The sequence below is a fragment of the Homo sapiens genome, chromosome 10 (assembly GCF_000001405.40).
Source record: "Homo sapiens chromosome 10, GRCh38.p14 Primary Assembly".
In the NCBI taxonomy this organism is placed as follows: Eukaryota; Metazoa; Chordata; class Mammalia; order Primates; family Hominidae; genus Homo; species Homo sapiens.
In genome coordinates this window covers 30402816-30427175 of record NC_000010.11, presented here as the reverse complement: position 1 = coordinate 30427175, position 24360 = coordinate 30402816, and the positions used below count along the sequence as shown (strand labels likewise).

At 42.6% G+C, this 24360-nt stretch overlaps 1 pseudogene, besides 2 other annotated features; it reads left to right on the top strand.

The window, feature by feature from the left end:
* Nucleotides 8348–8417: an enhancer, noted in NCBI's record as "active region_3210". NCBI's record gives its function as "activates an Ori minimal core promoter by ATAC-STARR-seq in GM12878 lymphoblastoid cells {active_cell/tissue: GM12878}" and the evidence as "EXISTENCE:reporter gene assay evidence [ECO:0000049][PMID:35858748]".
* Nucleotides 8458–8577: an enhancer, noted in NCBI's record as "active region_3209". NCBI's record gives its function as "activates an Ori minimal core promoter by ATAC-STARR-seq in GM12878 lymphoblastoid cells {active_cell/tissue: GM12878}" and the evidence as "EXISTENCE:reporter gene assay evidence [ECO:0000049][PMID:35858748]".
* CCND3P1 (cyclin D3 pseudogene 1) lies at nucleotides 23355–23982 on the top strand (annotated as a pseudogene).

The window sequence follows — 24360 nt, the reverse complement described above, 5'->3', positions numbered from 1 at the left end:
ATTATCCTGCCTCAGCCTCCCGAGTAGCTGAGATTACAGGCCTGTGCCACCACGCCTGGCTAATTTTTTGTATTTTTAGTAGAGACAGGGTTTCACCAAGTTGGCCAGGTTGGTCTCGAACTCCTGACCTCAAATGATCCACCTGCCTCGGCCTCCCAAAGTGTTAGGATTACAGGCATGAGCCACAACACCCGGCCTCACTTGCTAAACTTTTAAAGGGGGAGAAAGGCTCAGCAATCATGCTCTCTCCAACTCCCTATCTCCTTAAACTGCCTAGGGCTAAATGCTATGGTGTAGCCCCAATTGAGTTGGTGGAGATTTCCCATATGCAACCTTAAGTGCCTCCTCTCACTCCTTTACATATTAACCTCACAGTCCTGTCTCCCCTCAGTACAATGCAGGGCCTGAAAATACTGCACAGTGAAGGCTCTGCCTGTGAAGGGAGGGAACTGCTGTCAACATATTGTTTGGGCAGGGGGAGGAATTGGTTAAATATATATATATATAATCTGATCCCCATCCTGTACATGCAAGTGTAAATGCATAAAAACAGAAAAAAGGGCTGGGCATGGTGGCTCACCCTGTAATCCCACAGTTTGGGAGGCTGAGCTGGGAGAATCACCTGAGCCCAGGAGACCAGCCTGGGCGATATAGTGAGACTCCATCTCTAAAAAAAATTCGTTTTTTAATTAGCCTATGTGGTGGGGGTACCTGTACTCCCATCTAATCAAGAGGTTGAGGTGAGAGGATCGACTGAGCTGAGGAGGTCGAGACTGCAGTGAGCTGTGATCAGGCCACTGCACTCCAGCTTGGGTGACAGAGCAGGACTCTGTCTTTAAAAAAAAAAAAAGAACATGCGTGACCAGGTGCAGTGGCTCATACCTGTAATCCCAGCACGTTGGGAGACCGGGGCGGGCAGATCACTTGAGGTCAGGAGTTTGAGACCAGCCTGGCCAACATGGAAACCCTGTCTTTACTGAAAATATAAAAATTAGCCGGGTGTGGGGGCGTGCACCTGTAATCCCAGCTGCTTGGGAGGCTGAGGCAGGAGAATTGCTTGAACCTGGGAGGCAGAGGTTGCAGTGAGCCAAGATTACACCACTGCATTTCAGTCTGGGCAACAGAATAAGACTCTATCAAATAAAAAAAAATGAACAAAATAAAACTAGAATATTATACCCTTCAAAAATAATTTATTAGTCTTTTTGAAATGGTGTTTTCCCCATGCAATGGTTTGGGAAACGGATTTAAAAGGATGTGGTGTGCTTATCTTCATGTGAGACTTTGTTTTAAGCTGAGCTAAACACATTTTGTTCCTTGACTTTTCCTTTCTTAGTCCCTTTTTGTGCTGCTATAACAAAATACCTGAGCCTAGGTAATTTATAAAGAGGAGAATGTATAAAGAACAGGTCTAGAGGCAGGGAAGTACAAGATCAGGGCACTGGCAGGTTGGGCATATTTGGTTGTCTGGTGAGGGCTGCTCTCCCCTTCCACGATGATGCCTTGTTGCATGATGGATTGTCAAAGGGCTATGGAGCCACTGCTCCCTGAAGCCTCTTTTATAAGGGCTTTAATCCTATTCCCAAAGGAAGAGCCCTCATGGCTTGATCACCTCCTAAAGGTCCCACCTCTTAATCCTGTTGTCAGAAGCTTTTGAACAAGAGCGACTCCATCTTGAATACAGCTGGGTAAAATAAGGCTGAGACCTACTGGGCTGCATTCACAGGTTAGGCATTCTAAGTTCCAGGATGAGATAGGAGGTCGGCACAAGACCTTGCTGATAAAATAGGTTGCAATAATGAAGCTGACCAAAATCCACCAAAACCAAGATGGTGACAAAAGTGACCTCTAGTCGTCCTCACTGCTCATTATATGCAAATTACAATGCATTCACATGTTAAGAGCACCATGTGACCAGCACCGTGACAGTTTACAGATGCCATGGCAATGGCAGGAAGTTATCCTATATGGTCTAAAAAGCGGAGAAACCCTCAGTTATGGAATTGCCCACCCCTTTCCCCGAAAACTCATGAATAATCCACCCCTTGTTTACCATATAATCAAGAAATAACTATAGGTATCCTTCGTTGAGCCCCTGCCCTGCCTATGGAGTAGCCATTCTTTATTCCTTTACTTTTTTTTTTTTTTTTTGAGACAGAGTCTCATCCTCCAGGCTGGGGTGCAGTGACGTGATCTCAATTCACTGCAACCTCTGCCTCCCAGGTTCAAGCGATTCTCATGCCTCAGCCTCCAGAGTAGCTGGGATTACAGGCATGCATCACCATGCCAGGCTAATTTTTGTATTTTTAGTGGAGACAGGTTTCACCATGTTGGCCAGGCTGGTCTTGAACTCCTGACCTCAGGTGATCCGTCCACCTCGACCTCCCAAAGTGCTGGGATTACAGACGTGAGCCACCATGGCCGGCCCCTTTACTTTCTTAATAAACTTGCTTTCACTTTACTCTATGAACTTGTCCCAAATTCTTTCTTGCATGAGATCCAACAACCCTCTTTTGGGGTCTGGACTGGGACCTCTTTCCAGCAACACTATCACATTGGCAACACCTGAATCTTGGAGGGGACATATCCAAACCATAGCAGTTATGCTGCAGTACTAAAAGCAATTGCCAGCAAATTAAGTTTCTTTAGTGTGGTGAGGGGAGATTGCTTGCCTTTTTAAATTAAATCTATGGAGTAATGCCCATCAGAACTTTTTTCCTTTTTAAAACAATATTTTAAATTTTTATTATTTTTTTAAAGACAGGGGTCTCATTATATTGGCTAGGCTGGTCTGGAACTCCCAGCCTCTGGCAATCCTCCTGCTTGGCCTCCCAAAATGCTGAGATTTCAGGCATGAGCCACCCGCACTCAGCCCAGAAGGATTTTTTCCTTAATACTTAGATGCTTTGATTGATCAATTTTGTAATAATGAAGCATCATCATACACTCTGACTGTATTAGAAATAATATTTAGTCTGGACGTGGTGACTCATGCCTGTAATCCCAGCACTTTGGGAGGCCCAGGTGGGCTGATCCCTTGAGGTCAGGAGTTTGAGACCAGCCTGGCTAACATGGTGAAACCCTGTCTCTACTAAAAACACAAAAATTAGCCGGGTGTGGTGGCAGGGGCCTGTAATCCCAGCTACTCAAGAGGCTGAGGCAAGAGAATGGCTTGAACCCAGGAGGCAGAGGTTATAGTGAGCTGAGATTGCATCAATGCACTTCAGCCTGGGCAACAAGAACAAGACTCCACCTAAAAAATAAATAAATAGATAAAAATTTTTTGAAAACCATTAATAACAACTGCATTTTGAGCACACACTGTGTTCCAGGGACTCTGCTAAGCCTTGTAGATGGATTATCTCCTTTGACTGTCACGACAGTCCTGAGGTGGGTCCTATTCTCTCCATTTACGCGTGGGATTTACATGAGTTTAAAGAGGTTAAGTGTCCAGGGAAACCCGATTCTAATCCATGTCTGGCTGACTCTAAACTCAAATAAACAACTTCCTGCATCTACAGGCAGTGACTCTGCCTCCTGCAGCAAAGGCAACTCTGTGTGCAGCTGGTGTTTGTTGGTGCCCATTGGAGGAAAACAGGGTTGCCATGCGCCGGTTGTGAAATGCCTCAGCCTGCTCTCCCAGACCAGCTTCTTTCCTATGCGGGCTGAAGACGTGAATGAGTTTCAGGCAGTTTGCAGGTCTAATGTTTTAATCTTTGATCTCTAACTCAGGGGAGGGGCTGTCAAGGAATTTCAGCTATTTCCTGGGAGTAGGGATGTGAGGGAGGGCTGAGCTCAGGACACCTTCGAAATAGGACACTAGTTTTGCTCACCCTTAAAGTAGTCCTGCCTTAATTTCTCCAGGTTTGCAGGAACACAAAGAGACGTGCTGCCTCCTCTCATCCAGAGATGCTGAGGAAGTTCTGGATGGGACAATAGGAGGTGGGAGGAGGTATTGCTGGGGCTTCAGGCCTGTTTCTACGGTGTTCCCGAGAATGTTTGAGGGAGAGGGAGGCATCTTTCCCATCTGCCCAGCCAGATCTAGCACAAATCCCAGTCTTCCAGGCCAACACTTTCCCTACAACAACAGTTCCCTGCCCAGAGACTCCTAAAGGCAGTGGCCTGTTGCAATCCCTTGTTAAGGCCTTAACCAGAGCCAGCATTAAACTTTTCAGGGAACTGTGAGAATGAGTTGTTAAACATAGCCGTTATTAAAAATAAAATTCCTGGCTGGGTGCACTTTGGGAGGCCAAGGTGGGTGGATCACTTGAGCTCAGGAGTTTGAGACCAGCCTGGGCAACATGGTGAAAACCCATCTTTACAAAAAATACAAAAATTAGCCAGGCATGGTGGCTCATGCCTATGGTCCCAGCTACTTGGAAGGCTAAGGTAAGAGGATTGCTTGAGCCCAGAAGGCAGAGGTTGCAGTAAGCTGAGATCTCACCACTGCACTCCAGCGTGGGCAACACAGTGAGAACCTGTCTCAGCAATAAATAAAATAAAATTTAAAAATTCCAAAAAAGTAAAGTATATATTAAAGGCAAAGATAATAAATACAAAAAACTCACCACTTCCTGATAATCGTGTTACATTTGTCCCTTCTCGAGGCTCTCCAGGTTAGTTAGGTCTGTCATATCTGTGTGGTGGAAACACTGCATAATGATGTACTTCTCTTTCCAACATTGCATTCTGTGGCCTCGCATTGGTAACTTGAAATACGTCGTGGTGGGAGAATTTACATCACAGAAATCAGCAAATACTACACATCAGGGCAGGGCTTTCAGAAAGCTGATTCTTAAGTATTTACTAGCACACCACTGCCAATGGGCAGAGTTTGTATTTTCTGGTACTTTTGACCTACTTTATGTTTTCTAATATTTATTTATTTATTTGAGACGAGGCCTCACTCTGTCACCCAGACTGGAGTGCTGTGGTGATCATAGCTCACTGCAGCCTGAAACTGCTGGGCTTAAGCAATCCACTGTCTTCAGCCTCCCAAGCAGCTAGGACTACTGGCACGTACCACCATGCCCCGCTATTTTTTTTTTTTTTACAGTTTTTTTAGAGAAGAGGATCTCACTCCATTGCCCAGTCTTGTCTCAAACTCCTGGCCTCAAGCGATCCTCCTGCCTCCCAAAGTGTGGCCCTTTTTTTGAGACAGAAAAAAAAAGTTCGATCTCGGTTCACGGCAACCTCTGCCTTCTGGGTTCAAGCAATTCTCCTGCCTTAGCCTCCCAAGTAGCTGGGATTACAGGTGTCTGCCACCACATCCAGCTAATTTTTGTATATTTATTTATTTATTTTTATTTTTTATTTATTTATTTTTTTGAGACGGAGTCTTGCTCTATCACCCAGGCTGGAGTACAGTGGCACGATCTCGGCTCACTGCAACCTCCGCCTCCTGGGTTCAAGCAGTTCTCCTGCCTCAGCCTCCCAAGTAGCTGGGATTACAGACACCCGCCGCCATGCCCGACTAATTTTTGTATTTTTTGTTTTAGTAGAGATGAGGTTTCACCATGTTGGCCAGGCTGGTCTCAAACTCCTGACCTCATGATCCACCCACCTTGGCCTCCCAAAGTGTTGGGATTACAGGCATGAGCCACCATGCCCGGTTAATTTTTGTATTTTTAGTAGAGATGGAGTTTCACCATGTTGGCCAGGCTGGTCTCCAATTCCTGACCTCAGGTGATCCATCCGCCTTGGCCTCCAGAAGTGCTGGGATTACAGGCGTGAACCACCGTGCCCAGCCCCCTGGCCCTTTTCTAATGTTTAATAGCATATCTGCCTATCTTACTTCTATCTGTGTAGCAAAATCACAGGCAATAAATGGTGACTGTGGCCTCAATTCATTAGTTGTTACTGTAGCTCCATCCTTATTCCAACAACATAATCGAGGGAAGAGGAGATTATCCGTCACCTGTCTTGAGGGGCAGGCTGTCGCCTTAGGATAGTCCCTTATGGGCATGGCCAGCCTGTCACAGGGGGGCACATTCACTCAGAATCTTAACTCCATGCTGATGATGGCTTGGTTTTAGGACCAGTGATTCTCATTTGCCTTATAAGTATCACCTAGGAAATTCTCATTCAGTAGAGGTAGGCTTGGGCCCCTGAAATCTGAACTTCAGAAAGCAAGAAGGGACTGTTCCTTGGAAATACTAACCAAGTGAAAAGAACACTTTTTAAATTCAAATCTCTGCTTCCCCATTTTCTGTCCATGTGACCTTGGGCAAGTCACTTAAACTCGTAGAGCTTTGGTTTCTTTATTATATAATGGAAAAAAGAAAAGCTATCTTGTTTTCATTTTACTTTTCATAATATCAAAACCTCTTAACCTACAGCTCTAACCATAGGAGAAAAGTGAAATCATGTATTGCATGTATTTATACTGTACTAAAATGTTTTTGAAAAACATACTTTCATTTACTCAGTTAATATCCCTGATGCAGTGACCCTGAAAGTTGCTGTTACAAGGCTTGTTTTGTATTTGAGGGATCTGAAATTTGGAGATTAGTAACTTGTCCAAGATCACTCAGATAATACACATGGCCAAAATTCTAACTCAAATATATTGCCTTCAAAATTATATAGCCATTAGGTTACTATATTCTTGGACTTCGCAGGTGCTAAGTCACCCACTCATTCAAGAGACACTTACGCACATCAGTGGGCCCCAGGGATTGCTATAGGTATTGGAGGTACAGCCCACATTACTCATGGGCTGCTGTCAACCATGAAGCCACTGGCCAGTCCCCCTCACTTATGCATGCAGCCCTCAGTTGACACCAAGTTGCCTCCCACATCCTTGTTTGCCTGAAACCCACCACCATGAGTGGTTCTAGCTAAGTCAACTGCTGCCCAGTTGGGTCCCCCAGTTTTATCCCTCAGATCCAAGATTCACAGAGCATAGTCTGGGTGCAGAGACCTCCTGGCAGAAGGAGATACTGGAATATTGAGATGTACCTTCTTGGCTCTAGTTAGTTACATTTGGGGAAACTTCAGATGCTCCCCATCCTGATGCACAGATTATAGCTCTAACTGCTCTCAGAAGAACAGCAAATTAGAGAGCATACCAAGAGTTTATACTTTTTAAAAGCTTAAATCTGATTTCAAAACAATTCCTGTTTACTAAAGACTTGCTAGAAAATAGGGATAATGAAATTTACCCACCAATCCCAACACTCAGATCAACAATAATTGCTGTCAACATTTTAGTGAACATCGTTCTGATTTTGTAAAGCACAGATATTAAGATTTTGTAACCTTTATCTCTGGCACCTGCTTCTAAAATCAGCTTTGCAAGTGAGAAGAAAAGAATAACCACTATATCGTTTAAAAGACAATTCTGCTCCTTTATCCGTTCATGCAACAAATATTTGAGTGTGTAGTATATGCCAGTCACAGTTTTAGGTGCTGGGGAGCAGCAGTGCACAAAACTCAATGGCCTTCATGGAGTCTAGAGTTTTGTCAGGGAGAGAGAGACACTGAACAAATAAATAAATACACATAAGTGCACAATTTATGACACGTTTCAAGAGGAAATGAACAAGGTGAAGGAAGTGAATGGGATGGGGAGAGATACTTTGGGACTAGAACTTACTTAGGTCAGGGAGAATATTTCTGAGACTGTGACGCTCACATAAACATAATGTTCTAGATTATAGCAGCCTGGTATAAGTCAAAAGTCACTGTGGATGAATAAACATTTGTCACTTAAGTCCGTGTTTCAATTTTGTTATTAATTGATATGGACAGATCTTGCCACTGCATTCTAGCCTGGGCAACAGAGCAAGACTCGGTCTCAAAAAAAAAAAGAAAAGAAAATAATATTATAAAGAAATGTTGCTTTACATAGTCCCCATAAATACACCATAATCAAATACAATCAATTACACAGTATTTGAACCTGTTTTAGTCCCTGGTGGAAAGTCTGAGGTAAAAGAAAAAAATATGGGCTTTAGTGTTATATAACATCCAGATGCCAATTTTTTTCTTTTTTGGCCTGATACTAGCTGTTGATTTAGAAAAGCTATTTAATCCCTTTGAGCTTTACTTTCCTTGATTATAGGAAAAAAAAAAAGGCATAAATAGAGTGAAAAAAGTTAACCTTCTTGATGCCAGAGAAATAGAGTAGCGCTTGGTGGTGGATGGGTTTTTCTTTCAACTCAATAGGGCTCTGTTAGTAACAGAAACCCCGCATGGAGGTTTCTCCAGTGCCTGGAGAAACCTGGGTAACCGACTCAGCAGGTTGAAGCCTTATCACTGTGGCTTTTCTTTTTAAGATATGGAAACTTCCGGTTTCCTTTTGTGCCTCTTTTATTTCACTTACTTTATTGCATCACAAGCTATGTGGTAGTGGTTTCATTTTTACCATGTGAACTGGATTATCCCACTGCAAATCTCCCTTGAGTTCTTGGAAAAATATCTAACATTGATAAGAAACAGGAAAATTTTAAGAAAATACCCAACTAAGGAACTATTGAATGTTTGACATAGTTTGCAGAGGCTTTAGGAGATCTTAACAGGTTCTTTTTTTCTTTCTTTTCTTTTCTTTTGAGACAGGGTCTCCCTCTGTCATCCAGGCTGGAGTATAGTGGCACAATCCCGGGTCACTGCAACCTCCACCTCCAGGGTTCAAGCGATTCTCCCGCCTCAGCCTCCTGAGTCGCTGGAATTACAGTGTGCGCCACCACAGCCTGGCTAATTCTTGTACTTTTAGTAGAGACGGGGTTTCACCATTTTGGTCAGGCTGATTTCAAACTGCTGACCTCAGGTGATCTGCCCACCTTGGCCTCCCAAAGTGCCGGGATTACAGGCCTGAGTCACCTCCCCTGGCAACAGTTTCTTTCTTTCTTTTTTACTTTCTCTCTTTCTTTCTTTCTTTCTTTCTTTCTTTCTTTCTTTCTTTCTTTCTTTCTTTCTTTCTTTCTTTCTTTCTCTTTCTTTCTTTCCTTCTTTCTTTCTTTCTTTCCTTCCTTTTTTCCTTCCTTCCTTTCTCTTTCTTCCCTCTTTCTTTCCCTCCCTCCCTCCCTTCCTTCCTTCTTTCTTTTTTATTTTTGAGACAGAGTTTAGCTCTGTCACCCAGGTTAGAGTGCAGTGGCGTGATCTTGGCTCACTGCAACCTGCACCTCCTGGATTCAAGCGATTCTCCTACCTCAGCCTCCTGAGTAGCTGGGATTACAAGCGCCTGCCACCATGCCCCACTAATTTTTTTTCTTTTAGTAGAGATGGGGTTTCACCATGTTGGACAAGTTTGTCTTGGACTTCTGACCTCTAGTGATCTGCCTGCCTCGGCCTCCCAAAGTGCTGGGATTACAGGTGTGAGCCACCATGCCCAGCTAACAGTTTCTTTAGAAAGGTCAGTTTAAAGGCCTGTTTTTGTGTCTCAGGGAACTACATGGAGTGTTTGTTTTTTAATACACTGGGACAAAGAAGAGCAAGCCTAGTGTTTAATGTCCTGAGCCTTTAGCTATGTGGCTGCCCAGGCGGGCTTTTCTTTTCCTAACCCAGCTGGATTGCCATAGACCAACGAGAAGTGGCTTGACCCAGGAAGAAAACATGGGTTCTATCCCCAGGAGTGGAGTCAGAGTATTTCCCAGATGCTGGTCCCCATCCAACTAGAGGCTGTTTCCTCTGCCTTGCAACCACTGGCAGGTACAGGCACTTCTGCCCACAAGACAGTCTGGCAGCAGTAGCATTTCCTAAGAGATCCAGTGACAGATGGCTCTGACAGGATACAACAGCCTGCAGAGGAAAGAAACACGGGACAGCAATCTCTCTTGTCTCTTGTCTCTTCCAAGGACACTTTTCTTCCTTTCTTATTCTGAAGAAAAGAAGACATGAGTTAGTACTAAATGTGGCAGGAATAGTGGGCCAGGCGCGGTGGCTCACTCCTGTAGTCCTAGCACTTTGAGAGGCCAAGTGGGGAGGATTGCTTGAGCCCAGGAGTTCAAGACCAGCCTGGGCAACATAGGGAGACGCTGTATCTACAAATAAATAAATAAATAAATAAAATTAGCTGGGCATGGTGGCATCCACCTGTAGTGCCAACTACTCTTGAGGCCGAGATGAGGGGATGGATCACTTAAGCCTGGGAGCTCCAGACTGCACTGCACTCCAGCCTGGGCAACAGAGTCAGACCCCATCTCAAACAAACAAACAAACAAAATAATAGAAATGAGTAATGCTGTACTTGTATGAGTGACTGTGCATCTGAATTCATGGAATTATTGGGGTCTAAGTTCATAGAACTCATTACTAAAGAGGGGATCACAGTTGAAAATCACATGTAAGTAAATTAATAAAAGTCTCTGAAATCTAAGTCAAAAATTAATATGGAAGCAAGCATAGAAAAAAAGCATCCACTTGGTCTGCATGGAGAAAAGTGCTTAACTCCAGCAATAACTGGATTTGATGAGATGTTTTTCATGTGGTAAAACATACTCTTTAGCGCTGTGCGTTATGGCTCATGCCTGTAATTTTAGCACGTTGGGAGGCTGAGGCAGAAGGATCCCTTGAGCCCAGGAGTTCGAGGCCAGCCTGGGCAACATAGGTAGACCTTGTCTCTATAAAAATAAAATAATAAAATAAAATGAAATAAAATGAAAAAAGAAGACCATATCCTTTTCAGAAAATTAAATACAAAGAGTAGGTGTGGTGGATCATGCCTATAATCCCAGCACTTTGGGAAGCCAAGACTGGAAGATCTCTTGAGCTCTAGAGTTTGATACCAGCCTGGGAAACATGGAGACAATCTGTCTCTACATAAAATACAAAAACTAGCCAGGTATGGAGGCTCGCTACTTGGGAGGCTGACGGGGGAGGACCGCTTGAACCCAGGAGTTTAAAGCTGCAGTGAGCTGTGTTCACACCATTGCACTCCAGCCTGGGTGACAGAGTGAAACTCTGTTTCAAAAAAAGAGAGAAAGAAAAGTAAATTAAAAAGTAAATCTAGAATTCCATGAATTATTGGCACACATCCAGTGATGGTCTTCAGTAATGGTTCTCATGCTTTAGCTAAAACCATTTATAAATGCTAAACCTTGTTTTAAAAAAAATACAGATTCCTGAATCGCACTTCTAGATATTCTGATGAAGTAATTCTAAGGGTGCAGCCCAGAAATCTATATTTTAGTAAGCTCACCAAATACTTCTGACTCACGAATCAGTTCCCTGGACCAACTTTAGAAACTATAGTCTCCCAAAAACAGAAAGAAAACTTACTTGGGAATACACAAAGCCAAACTGCAAGAACATTAGTGTCAGATTCCAAAATCCAATGTTCACACTTTAAAACATTTGCCTATGGGCACTGGTACATGACTTTCAGTCTCACTGATTCTTCATGGTCTCCATAGCAACAACGGCTTAGAAAAAGAAATCACAGAGGAAATAAGAAAATTGTTAATGCTACTTCTTTTTTTTTTTCTTTGAGATGGAGTTTCGCTCTGTCGCCCAAGCTGGAGTGCAGTGGCGTGATCTTGGTTCAGTGCAACCTCTGCCTCCTGGGTTTAAGTGATTCTCGTGCCTCAGACTCCCGAGTAGCTGGGATTACAGGTGCGTACCACCACACCTGGCTAATTTTTGTATTTTCAGTAGAGACGGGGTTTTGCCATGTTGGCCAGGCTGGTCTCGAACTCCTGGTCTCAAGTGATCCCCCTGGCTTAGCCTCCCAAAGTGCTGAGATTACAGACAGGTGTGAGCCACCACACCTGGCCAAAATAATGAAGTGTTTCATAATGATGATTTCTTACGCTAGATAAAATATTCTATTACTACCTGTATCCTAGGGTTTTGTGGGTGTTAACTGAGCCAATATACCTAAAATGCTTAGAACTATAAGTGGCTAATATTAATATTAATCACTTAATAAATGTAATATGTTAGCTGGGCATGGTGGCATGTATGTAGCTCCAGCTACTCTGGAGGCTATGGCAGGAGGATCACTTGAGCCCAAGAGTCTTAGGCCACAGTGACCTATGATTGTGCTTGTAAACAACCACTGCACTCCAGCCTGGGCATCATAGTAGACCCTGTCTCTAAAATATATATGTGTGTGTGTGTGTGTGTGTGTGTGTGTGTGTGTGTGTGTGTGTGTATGTGTATATGTGTGTGTATGTGTATATACGTGTGTATATATGTAAATATACATATATATGTGATATACATATAAACTTAGATCTCTTCATATATGTTACATACAATGTAATATGTATATATGTGTTATATATAATATACATGTTTACATATTACACATGTTTATATATTGTTACATAAAATATATATCAGATGTAACACATGTAAATATGATATAACATATGTAACATAAATATGATATATACATATGATGTATACATATATGTAACATATAAAAATAGAGATCTATATTTACATATATTACATATAAATTATATTATATATAATATAAATATGTAGTATAATACATATTATATATTACATATAAATTATATGTAACATATGTATAAATAGAGATCTATATTTATAATCTAATAGTATTCTAATCTGTGGATAGATTACAAATTAAGTAGTCCCCTCCTCACATTGGAACTGTAGATTGCTTCTAACTTTCCTACATATATGGCATTGAAAATTCCTGTATGTACCTTCATGTGCATCTCTAATTCAGATAGATTTCTAGTAATGGAATTACTAGATCAAAAAGCATGAACAAGTTTAAGGGATGGACCTATAATCACAATGATTAGAAAGTCAGTCAAATCTGTGTTGGAATCACCACTTATTCTATGACCTTGGTCATTTTGCTTAATTTTCTCAATTTTCATATCCATAAAATGGGGATAACAACAACATTCACAGGCATATTGTGATGTAATTAGACACAACACAATACTGTCACACAGTATGTTCAAAGTAAATGTAAGCTGTTTTTATGAGGACATTTGAAACAGCAGGGCATTGCTTCATCCTAGCATTGGGTGAGAAAGCATTGGACAGTTTTCAACAGTGACTCCATGTGGCCATAATAGAAATAGCAGTGGCAGAAAACACGTGTTGTCAGAAATGACCAGATTTATCAGTTCTTTCTTTGGTGTTTGTTAACAGGACTGTCCATTTGGATGGCCAAAGCCTGTGCCCGAGATTCTTTTTTTTTTTTTTTTTTTTGAGACAGAGTTTCACTCTTGTCGCCCAGCCTGGAGTGCAACGGCAAAATCTCGGCTCACCGCAACTTCTGCCTCCCAGGTTCAAGCGATTCTCCTGCCTCAGCCTCCCGAATAGCTGGGATTACAGGCATGTGCCACCATACTTGGCTAATTTTGTATTTTTAGTAGAGATGAGGTCTCTCTATGTTGGTCAGGCTGGTTGCCAACCCCCAACCTCAGATGATCTGCCCGCCTTGGCCTCCTAAAGTGCTGGGATTACAGGCGTGAGCCACCGTGTCAGGCCATGAGATTCTTGAATAATTTGATACAGACAAAGTTCAGGAAAGAGATAATGGGCCCTGCTAATCTTTTTTTTTTTTTTTTTTTAAGATGGAGTCTCTTTCTGTTGCCCAGGATGGAGTGCAGTGGTGTGATTTCAGCTCACTACAACCTCTGCCTCCCATGTTCAAGCGATTCTCCTGCCTCAGCCTCCCAAGTAGCTGGAATTACAGGTGTGTGCCACCACGCCTGGCTAATTTTTGTATTTTTAGTAGAGACAGGGTTTCACTATGTTGGCCAGGCTGGTCTCGAATTCCTGACCTCAGGTGATCCACCCACCTCAGCCTCCCAAAGTGCTGGGATTACAGCTTGAGCCACAGTGACCAACCTGTATCTTTTAATATATTGCATGTATAATATATTGCACATGTAATATACTGTGACACACACACACACACGTGAAGCAGCTTGTAATGATTTCTAAGGAAACAACATAACAACAGTCTATCTCTCTGCATAATATAACCATGAGGAGTCACTTTGGCAATTTTATTTGTATCTTATATTTCCCAGCAAAATCTAAGAGTGAATCTTAGTGAATGGTTGGGATTGGCATGCTGATGTAGTTCATGAAAGTCCTCCTGGCTTGACCTGCTAGAGAAGTTGGGAGGCCCAGAATTTAGAAATACAACCAGAAGTGATTACATAACAAGCATGTTGACTACATTAAACAACTGGCTTGTCAGATGATGAATATACACATTTCACTCATTTTAGTTCAGAAAACATGTCAATCTTAAGCAATTCCATGGTTTCTACAATCCACTCATAAAGATTAAATGAAAGAAAATATGATTTTAAAATAAGCTTTTGGCCAGGCATGGTGCCTTCCGCTTATAATCCCACCACTTTGGGAGGCCGAGGCAGGTGGATCGCTTGAGGCCAGGAGTTCCAGACCAGCCTGGCCAACATGGGGAAACCCTGCCTTTACTAAAAATACAAAAATTAGCTAAGTATGGTGGTGCACACCTGTAGTCCAGGTATTTGGGAGGCTGAAGGATGAGAATCACTTGAACCCAGGGAGCAGGGGTTGCAGTGAGCCTAGATTTGTGCCACTGCACTCCAGCCTGGGCAACAGAGCGTGACACCATCTCAAAAAAAAAAAAAAAGAAAAGAAAAGAAAAGAAAAGAAAAAGAAAAAGACATTAAATTTCTTTCCTAATGACAGGTGGTAGGCTCCTAGTAGAGGGAGGACTAGAACCCACTTCTTCTGATTCCCTTCTTCTGATTCCCAGGCCAGTGCCTTTTATACTATACCTTGAAGATCCCCTGATCTTTACTTAATACTTAGGGATTATCCTTTTTCAAGATGCTAGGCTAAGCCACAAGGAACAGAACTATGAAATTTTCTCCTTGGACTTAAGCAATGAATAAATGAATGGAATTAATATAAACATATATTTTGGCTTCCCTAATGTATAAGTAAATCTTTCTACATGTATTGGTCTAAAGCCAGTGAAAGAGGTTTGTGAGCTTTCCTTTTAAGTGTGAACTGAATGGCTGTGTGAAGTCAACTGTTTGGTTACTAAGGGCAATTTATCCATAGGAGTTTCTCCTTATTTAGACAACATAATGTTCATGGAAGTTGATCATACAAATTGGATCATCCTTGTTATATCCAATTAAAGATGGAGAAGCAAGGAGTGAAAAAGCACTCAGGGTACAAAACATTGCTCCAAGAATGCAATTCTCTGCAAACCTGGCTGCTGTAACTGCCTGTTTTTCAAATTGAAGGACACCCGGCCTGTGTGCTCGAATTGCAATTTTTGCTTCCCAAATAAGACTTTTTAAACGTAGAAATTCATCTCTATATTTTATTTGACTTTGACATGTTCAATCATTCATTGAACACTCAGGCATTTGACAAAGGAGATCAAGAAGTCCTGGCTGGGTGCGGTGGCTCATGCCTGTAGTCCCAGCTCTCTGGGAGGCCGAGGAAGGAGTTTGAGACCAGCCTGACCAACATGGTGAAACCCCATCTCTACTAAAAATACAAAAATTAGCTGGGTGTGGTGGCATGCACCTGTAATCCTAGCTACTTGGGAGGCTGAGGCAGGAGAATTGCTTGAACCCAGGAGGCAGAGGTTGCAGTGAGCCAAGATCAAGCCATTGCATTCCAGCCTGAGTGACAAGAGCGAAAATCTGTCTAAAAACAAAAACAAAAAATAGAAGAAGCCCCCAGCATTAGAGCTGTGCATCTCACATAAGAGCTCAGGAATCTCTGCAGTCAGGGCTGGGGGAAGGCATGAGAGTGGAGGACTTTCAATTTTACTCAGCCAATTTGAGGAGAAATGTGAAGTAATTTAACTGTATAGTTAGGGAAAGTGTCATTGTTATACTGTAACAAACATAGAAGTAATGGAGAAAATGCAAAACTTTCATGATTTTAAAAATAAAAGACACAGTTTCATAGAATTTGCAAGATTGTGATAGTTCATGTGTTTCAAAACTGTCCTGTAGCTGGGACGACAGGCATGTACCACTGCTCTTGGCTAATTTTTGTATTTTTGGTAGAAAGACGAGGTTTTGCCACGTGGCCCAGCCTGGTCTCAAACTCCTGGGCTCAAGCAATTGACCTGCTTTTGCCTCCCAAAGTGCTGGGATTACAGGCGTGAGCTACTGTGCCTGGCCCAATATATTTACTTATTTATGTATTTAGCTTTTATGTTTATTTATTTATTTTGGAGACAGGGCCTCACTCTGTCATCCAGGCTGGAGTGCAGTGGCGCAATCTCAGCTCACTGCAACCTTCGCCTCTGGGGCTCAAGTGATTCTCCTGTCTCAGCCTCCCAAGTGGCTTAGACTACAGATGTGTGCCACCACACCTGGCTAATTTTTATATTTTCAATGGAGATGGGGTTTCACCATGTTGACCAAGCTGGTCTCAAACTCTTGACCTGAAGTGATCTGCCTGCCTCAGCCTCCCAAAGTGTTGGGATTACAGGCGTGAACCACTGCACCTGGCCCAATATATTTATGTATTTATTTATTTTTGTTTTTGAGGCAGAGTCTTAGTTTGTTGCCCAGGCTGTAGTGCAGTGGCACGATCTCAGCTCATTGCAACCTCCGTCTTCTGGGTTCAAGCAATTCTCCCGCCTCAGCCTCCTGAGTAGCTGGGATTACAGGCACATGCCATGATGCCCAGCTATTTTTTGTATTTTTAGTAGATACAGAGTTTCACCATGTTGGCCAGGCTGGTTTCAAACTCCTGACCTCAAGTGATCCATCCTCCTCTGCCTCCCAAAGTGCTGGGATTCCAGCTGTGAGCCACTGTGTCCGGCCTTATATTTATTTTTAATGGCAAAAATATATTGATACATGCTCGTTATAAAATATTTATAATTCAGACTTATATGGAGTAAAAAATTTAAAGTCTTCCCACGCCACAAGTACTCTCTAGACAAGTGCATCCCTCCTTAGAATAGGGAAGAGAGTTCTGTAACATGTCTTTACGAAAGTTTATGTAGTGAATCACTTATGTTTAAGTTGTTTCCATTCTTCTGCCATCACAAAAAAATGCTGCAGTGAACATCCTTCTACATATGACATTGCATGCTTGTGAAAGTCTGTCTATAAGGTGAATTCCTAGAAATGGAAATGTTAGATAAAAGGCATGAATATGCATTTAAAATTTACATGATTTAGAGGCTGGGTGAGGTGGCTCACACCTGTAATCTCAGCACCTTAGGAGGCCAAGGTGGGAGGATTGCTTGAGCCCAGGAGTTCAAGACCACCCTGGGCAACGCAGGCGAAACCCCATCTTTACCAAAAATGCGAAGATTAGCCGGATGTGGTGGCCTGTGCCTGTTGTCCCAGCTACTCAGGAGGCTGAGGTGGGAGGATCACTTGAGTCTGGGATGGAGAGGTTGTAGTGAGCCGAGATTGTGCCGCTGCACTTCAGCCTGGGGACAGAGGCAGACCCTGTCTTAAAAAAGACCTAGCTGGGCATGGTGGCAGGCACCTGTAATCCCAGCTACTTGGGAGGCTGAAGCAGGAGAATTGCTTGAACCCAGGAGGAGAAGGTTGCAGTGAGCCGAGATTGTGCCGCTGCACTCCAGCCTGGGTGACAGAGCAAAACACTCTCAAAAAAACAAAACAAAAACGAAATTTACATGATTTTCAGTTGGATTCCTAGTATATCACATGACAAATGGTCCCAAGTAGGCCATGCGCAGTGGCTCACGCCTGTAATCCCAGCACTCTGGGAGGCCGAGGCGGGTGGATCACCTGAGGTCAGGAGCCTGGCCAACATGGTGAAACTCCATCTATACTAAAAATATAAAAATTAGCTGGGCATGGTGGCAGGTGCCTGTAATACCAGCTACCTGGGAGGCTGAGGCAGGAAAATTGCTTGAACCCGGGAGGTGGAGGTTGCATGAGCCAAGATCACGCCACTGCACTCCAGCCTAGGCAACAGAGCAAGACTCTGTCTCAAAAAAAAAAAAAAAAAAAATGGTCCCAAGTAAAATAACTGTTGCAATAGCCTTCAGGAAATCATAACAAGCAGCAGTTGAACCTGAACTTTAAATTTTTATTATAGACTACAACCCTGTTGAGTATGTGCCATACAAAAATGGACTCTGTTTAAAAAGAAGATGAGAGGAAGTCCTATGATGCTATGCCATCGGGTGGAATTTCCTTGGGCAAATACTTTACTGTTATGATGAACTGTCAGTGATTCGTTTAACAAATATACCACCTGCCTACATCATCCCATTTAGGCCTTATATCAAGTCCATTTCCTCTACTTGGGAACTAGACTCCATCCCTCTCCAAGACTTACACAAGGACATAGCTCAGCAGCTTTCTCTTCTCTCTTCCATATCACTTATTTTCTATTTATTCTGGATAATTTTGATCAACATACAAACATGGTGTTTCTTCACACCCCATTTCTCTATTCAACTTTATAGTAAAATCCCTAAAATCATTTTCAGTGCTCTGTTTTAATTTCTGTCTTTTCATTTGTATTTGAATCTACTCCAGTAAGGTTTAAATGCCCATTTCTCCATTGAAAATGTTCTCATTAAGAACATCACACCCAGGAACTGATTCAGAGCAAGAGGACAGCTTCAACTCCCTATGATTTCATCTCCTACCTAGCCAATCAGCACTCCTGGCCCACTGGCTTCCCCCCACCCAGCAAGTTGTCCTTAAAAACTCTGATCCCCAAATGCTTGGGGAGACTGATTTGAGTAATAATAAAACTTCAGTCTCCTGCACAACAAAAACAAACAAACAAAACATCAGACGCTGCGGGCGGTGGCTCATACCTGTAATCCCAGCACTTTGGGAGGCTGAGGCGGGAAGATCACTTGAAGCCAGGAGTTGGAGACCAGCCTGGGCAACATGGTGAGACCCATCTCTACAAAAAATTTATTTATTTATTTTTTAGAAAGAACATCAGTGACCTCTATATTTCTTTTTTTCCAAATAAATTTTATTGTGTATATTTGAAGTTTACAACATGATGTTATAGGATGCATATAGACAGTGAAATGGTTACTACAGTGAAGCAAATCAACATACCTACCATCTCACAGTTACTTTTTTATGACAAGAGCAGCTAAAATCTGCTTAGTTAACAAAAGTCCCTAATACAATACAATTTTACTAACTGCAGTGTTTGTTGTACATTAGATCTCTAGTTCATCCTACATATCTGCTTGTTTGTATCTGTTTTTTTTTTTCCTTTTTTTTTTTTTTGAGTCTCTTTCTCTGTCGCCCAGGTTGGAGTGCAGTGGTGCGATCTCGGCTCACTGCAACCTCCACCTCCTGGGTTCAAGCCATTCTCCTGCCTCAGCCTCCCAAATAACTGGGACTACAGGCATGTGCCACCATGCCTGGCTAATTTTTTGTATTTTTAGTCAAGATGGGGTTTCACCAGTTGGCCAGGCTGGTCTCGAACTCCTCACTTCAAGTGATCCACCCGCCTCAGCTTCCCAAAGTTCTGGGATTACAGGCATTAGCCATTCCCTGCCCCCGGCCTGCTTGTTTGTATCTTTTGACCTACATCGCCCCATTTCCTCCCCACCCCAATCTCTACATTTCTTGCATCAATTTCTCTATAGCACTTATCACTACTGACATACTACATATTTTACTTGGATTTGTTTATTGAATTTCTCTCTTCACTATAGGTTAGGCTCTATAAAAGGAAGGATTTTTTTGTTTTTTTTTGTCACCATTGTATTCCCAGAATCTACAGCATTGCCAATAGTAATAAATTTGTCACTGTTGTTGAGACAGGGTTTCGCCCTGTTGCCCAGGCTGAAGCGTAGTTCCATGATCTTGTCTTACTGCAACCTCCACCTTCCTGGCTCAGGTGATTTTCCTGCATCAGCTTCCCGAGTAGCTGGGACCAGAAGCATGCACCATCATGCTGGGCTAATTTTTGTAGTTTTGGTAGAGACGAGGTTTCATCACCATGTTGCCCAGGCCAGTCTCAAACACCTGGGCTCAGGTGATCTACCCAATGTGGCTTCCCAAAGTGCCTGGGTTACAGGCATGAGCCACCACGCTTGCCTGATAAATGAGTAATAGTTGTCCAATATATAGTTAAATGAATTAATTTATGCTTATATTCTACTTGAGGAAAGACAAACTAAAGAGCTTCTGCACAGCAAAAGAAACAACCATCAGAGTGAACAGGCAACCTACAGAATGGGAGAAAATTTTTGCAATCTACTCATCTGACAAAGGGCTAATATCCAGAATCTACAATGAACTCAAACAAATTTACAAGAAAAAAACAAACAACCTCATCAAAAAATGGGCGAAGGATATGAACATACACTTCTCAAAAGAAGACATTTATGCAGCCAAAAGACACATGAAAAAATGCTCATAATCACTGGCCATCAGAGAAATGCAAATCAAAACCACAATGAGATACCATCTCACACCAGTTAGAATGGTGATCATTTAAAAAGTCAGGAAACAACAGGTGTTGGAGAGGATGTGGAGAAATAGGAACACTTTTACACTGTTGGTAGGACTGTAAACTAGTTCAACCACTGTGGAAGTCAGTGTGGCAATTCCTCAGGGATCTAGAACTAGAAATACCATTTGACCCAGCAATCCCATTACTGGGTATATACCCAAAGGATTATAAATCATGCTGCTATAAAGACACATGCACACGTATGTTTATTGAGGCACTATTCACAATAGCAAAGACTTGGAACCAACCCAAATGTCCAACAATGATGGATTGGATTAAGAAAATGTGGCACATATACACCATGGAATACTATGCAGCCATAAAAATGATGAGTTCATGTCCTTTGTAGGGACATGGATGAAGCTGGAAACCATCATTCTCAGCAAACTATTGCAAGGACAAAAAACCAAACACTGCATGTTCTCACTCATAGGTGGGAATTGAACAATGAGAACACATGGACACAGGAAGGGGAACATCACACACCAGGGCCTGTTGTGGGGTGGGGGGAGGGGGGAGGGATAGCAATAGGAGATATGCCTAAGGTTAAATGACGGGTTAATGAGTGCAGCACACCAACATGGCACATGTATACATATGTAACTAACCTGCACATTGTGCACATGTACCCTAAAACTTAAAGTATAATAATAATAATAATAATATATATATATATATATAGAATGTCATAGTAACACATTCTATGGAAAAAGAGCAGTTAGGAGAATGGAGAATATCATGCCATGCTTAGAGGTAAAAGGGTTGCTATTTTATAGGGTGATCAGAAAATGCTTCTCTAATAAGGCAACATTTGAACAGAAGCCTGAAGGAAGAAAGGGAGTAAGCCATATAGGAGAGTACACGTCCAGGAAGGGAATACAGTAAGCGCTAATATCCTGAGGTGGAAATTTTCTTGGATGTTTGAGAAATAGAAAGGAGATTAGTATAGCAAAAGCCAAGTAGTTGAGGCAGAGAGTGCCAGGAAATGTGCTAGAAAGGATGTAGGAAGCATGTTCACATTTGGTTTTGCAAGCGTTTAGCTTTTAAGCCTGGGTAACATGACAAGACCCCATCTCTACAAAAAATTCAAAAATTAGCTGAGTGTGGTGGTGCACATCTGTAGTTCCAGCTACTTGGGAGGCTGAGGTGGGAGAATTGCATGAGCCCAGGAGCTGGAGGCTCCAGTGAGCTAAGATTGCACCACTGCACTCCAGCCTGGATGACAGAGGGAAACGCTGTCTCAAAAAAAAAAAATATATATATATATATATAGAATTTATCTTTTACTCAAGTATGAAAGAAGCCCCTGGAAGATATAAAAAAGAAGTGTAGCATGATCACAACACTCTAGCCAGTGTGCTGAGACTAGAATGTAAGGAGCTTGGAATAGAGATGCAAACAAGTTAAGAGGTTATGGCAAAAATATAAGTAAGCAGAATGCAGCAACATATAAAAAAGGCCCATATCATGACCAATTGGGATTAATCCCAGGAAGGCAAGGTTGGTTTAACATCTGAAAATTAACCAATATAATTTTATTAACAGAATAAAGGACAAAACCATATGATCATCTCAATGTAAGCTGAAAATATTGACAAAATTTCATGATAAAAATTATTAACAAACAGAATGGAAGGAACTTCTTCAACCTGGCAAAGGGCATCTACAGATCATCCCAGCTAACATACATAATGGTGAAAGGCTGAATGCTTTTCTTTTAAGGTCAGGTACAATACAAGGAGCTGCATTCCAACCACTTCTATTCAACATTGTACTAGAGGTGCTAGCCAAGGTAATTACGCAAGAAAGTGAAACAAAAGCTTCCAGATTAGAAAAGAAAAAATAAAACTATCTTTATTTGCAGATGACATGATCGGTCCATTCTCATGCTGCTTATAAAGACATACCCAAGACTGGATAATTTATAAAGGAAAGAGGTTTGGCTCACAGTTCCCCATGGGTGGAGAGGCCTCACAATCATGGCGAAAGAGCAAGGAGCATCTCACATGGCAGCAGGCAAGAAAAGAATGAGAGCCACGCCAGAGGGAAACCCCTTATAAAATCATCAGATCTCGAGAGACTTATTCACTGTCAGGAGAACAGTATGGAGGAAACGCCCTTATGATTCAATTATCTCCCACTGTGTTCCTCCCACAACACATGGGAATTATGGGAGCTACAATTCAAGATGAGATTTGGGTGGAGACACAGCCAAACCATATCAATCTTTTTTTTCTTATTCTTTTTTTTTTTTTTTTTTTTTTTGAGATGGAGTCCCACTCTGTTATCTAGGCTGGAGTGCAGTGGTGTGTGATCTTGGCTCACTGCAACCTCAGCCTCCCAGGTTCAAGCGATTCTCCTGCCTCAGACTCCTGAATAGCTGAAATTACAGGCACCTGCCACTACGCCTGGCAAATATTTTTTGTTTGTTTGTTTGTTTGTTTGTTTGTTTTGAGACAGAGTCTCTCTCTGTCGCCCAGGCTGGAGTGCAGTGGCGCGATCTCAGCTCACTGCAAACTCTGCCTCCCGGGTTCAAGCCATTCTCCTGCCTCAGCCTCCCAAGTAGCTGGGACTACAGGCGCCCACCACCACCATGCCAGGCTAATTTTTTGTATTTTTAGTAGAGACAGGGTTTCACCGTGTTAGCCAGGATGGTCTCAATCTCCTGACCTCGTGATCCGCCCACCTCGGCCTCCCAAAGTGCTGGGATTACAGGCGTGAGCCACTATGCCCAACCGTATCAATCTTGTATATAGAAAAACCTAAGGAATCTACAAAAAAACCCTATTATAACTAATATAATAATAATCTGCAAAGTTGTAGACTATGAGATCAATATACAAAAATTAACTCAATTTCTTTACATGTACAATGAATAACCCCAAAACAAAACTGGGAATATAATTCTATTTTTAATAGTATCACAAAGAATGACAATACTTAGAAACAAATGATGGGCGCTAGCTTGCACTCCCGCCCTGCCTGTGCGCTGCCCGAGTGTGGAGCTGCTATGCTGCGAAGGCTCGAGGACCCGCAGACGCCAGGGGATCAGCGCGTCCTGCAGAGCTTGCTCCCCTTGGAGTAGCGCTGCGTGCACTGCGCCTACTTCCAGTGCGTGCAAAGGGAGAGCAAGCCGCACATGCGGAAGATGCTGGTTTACTGGATGCTGGAGGTGTGTGAGGAGCAGTGCTGTGAGGAGGAGCAGTGCTGTAAGGAGGAAGTCTTTCCCCTGGCCATGAACCACCTGCATGCTACCTGTCCTACGTCCCCACCCACCCGAAAGGCACAGTTGCAGCTCTTGGTTGCGGTCTCCATGCGGCTGGCCTCCAAGCTGCGTAAGACTGGGCCCATGACCATTGAGAAAATGTGCATCTACACCGACCACGCTGTCTCTCCCTGCCAGTTGCGGGACTGGGAGGTGATGGTCCTGGGGAAGCTCAAATGGGACCTGGCCGCTGTGATTGCTCATGACTTCTTGGCCCTCATTCTGCACCGACCGACAGGCCTTGGTCAAAAAGCATGCCCAGATCTTTTTGGCTGTCTGTGCTACAGATTACACCTTTGCCATGTACCCACCATCCAGTTGTGAAAACAACCCAAATGCCTGTTAACTGATGAACAGATAACCATATGTGAGATATATCAATACAATGGAATATGGCCTGGCATGCTGGCTCACGCCTGTAATCCTGCACTTTGGGAGGCCAAAGTGGGAGGATCACTTGAGCCGAGGAGTTCAAGGCCAGCCTGGGCCACAAAGTGAGACTCCTTCTAAAAAAATAAAATAAAATAAAAAATAAAAACAATGTAATATTATTCAGCCATAGAAAGGAATAAAGTACTAAACACACTATAACATGGATGAACTTTGAAACTATTATGCTAAATGAAAGATGCTAATCATGAAAGACCACATATGGTATGATTTCAATTATATGAGATGTCCAAAATAGGCAATTC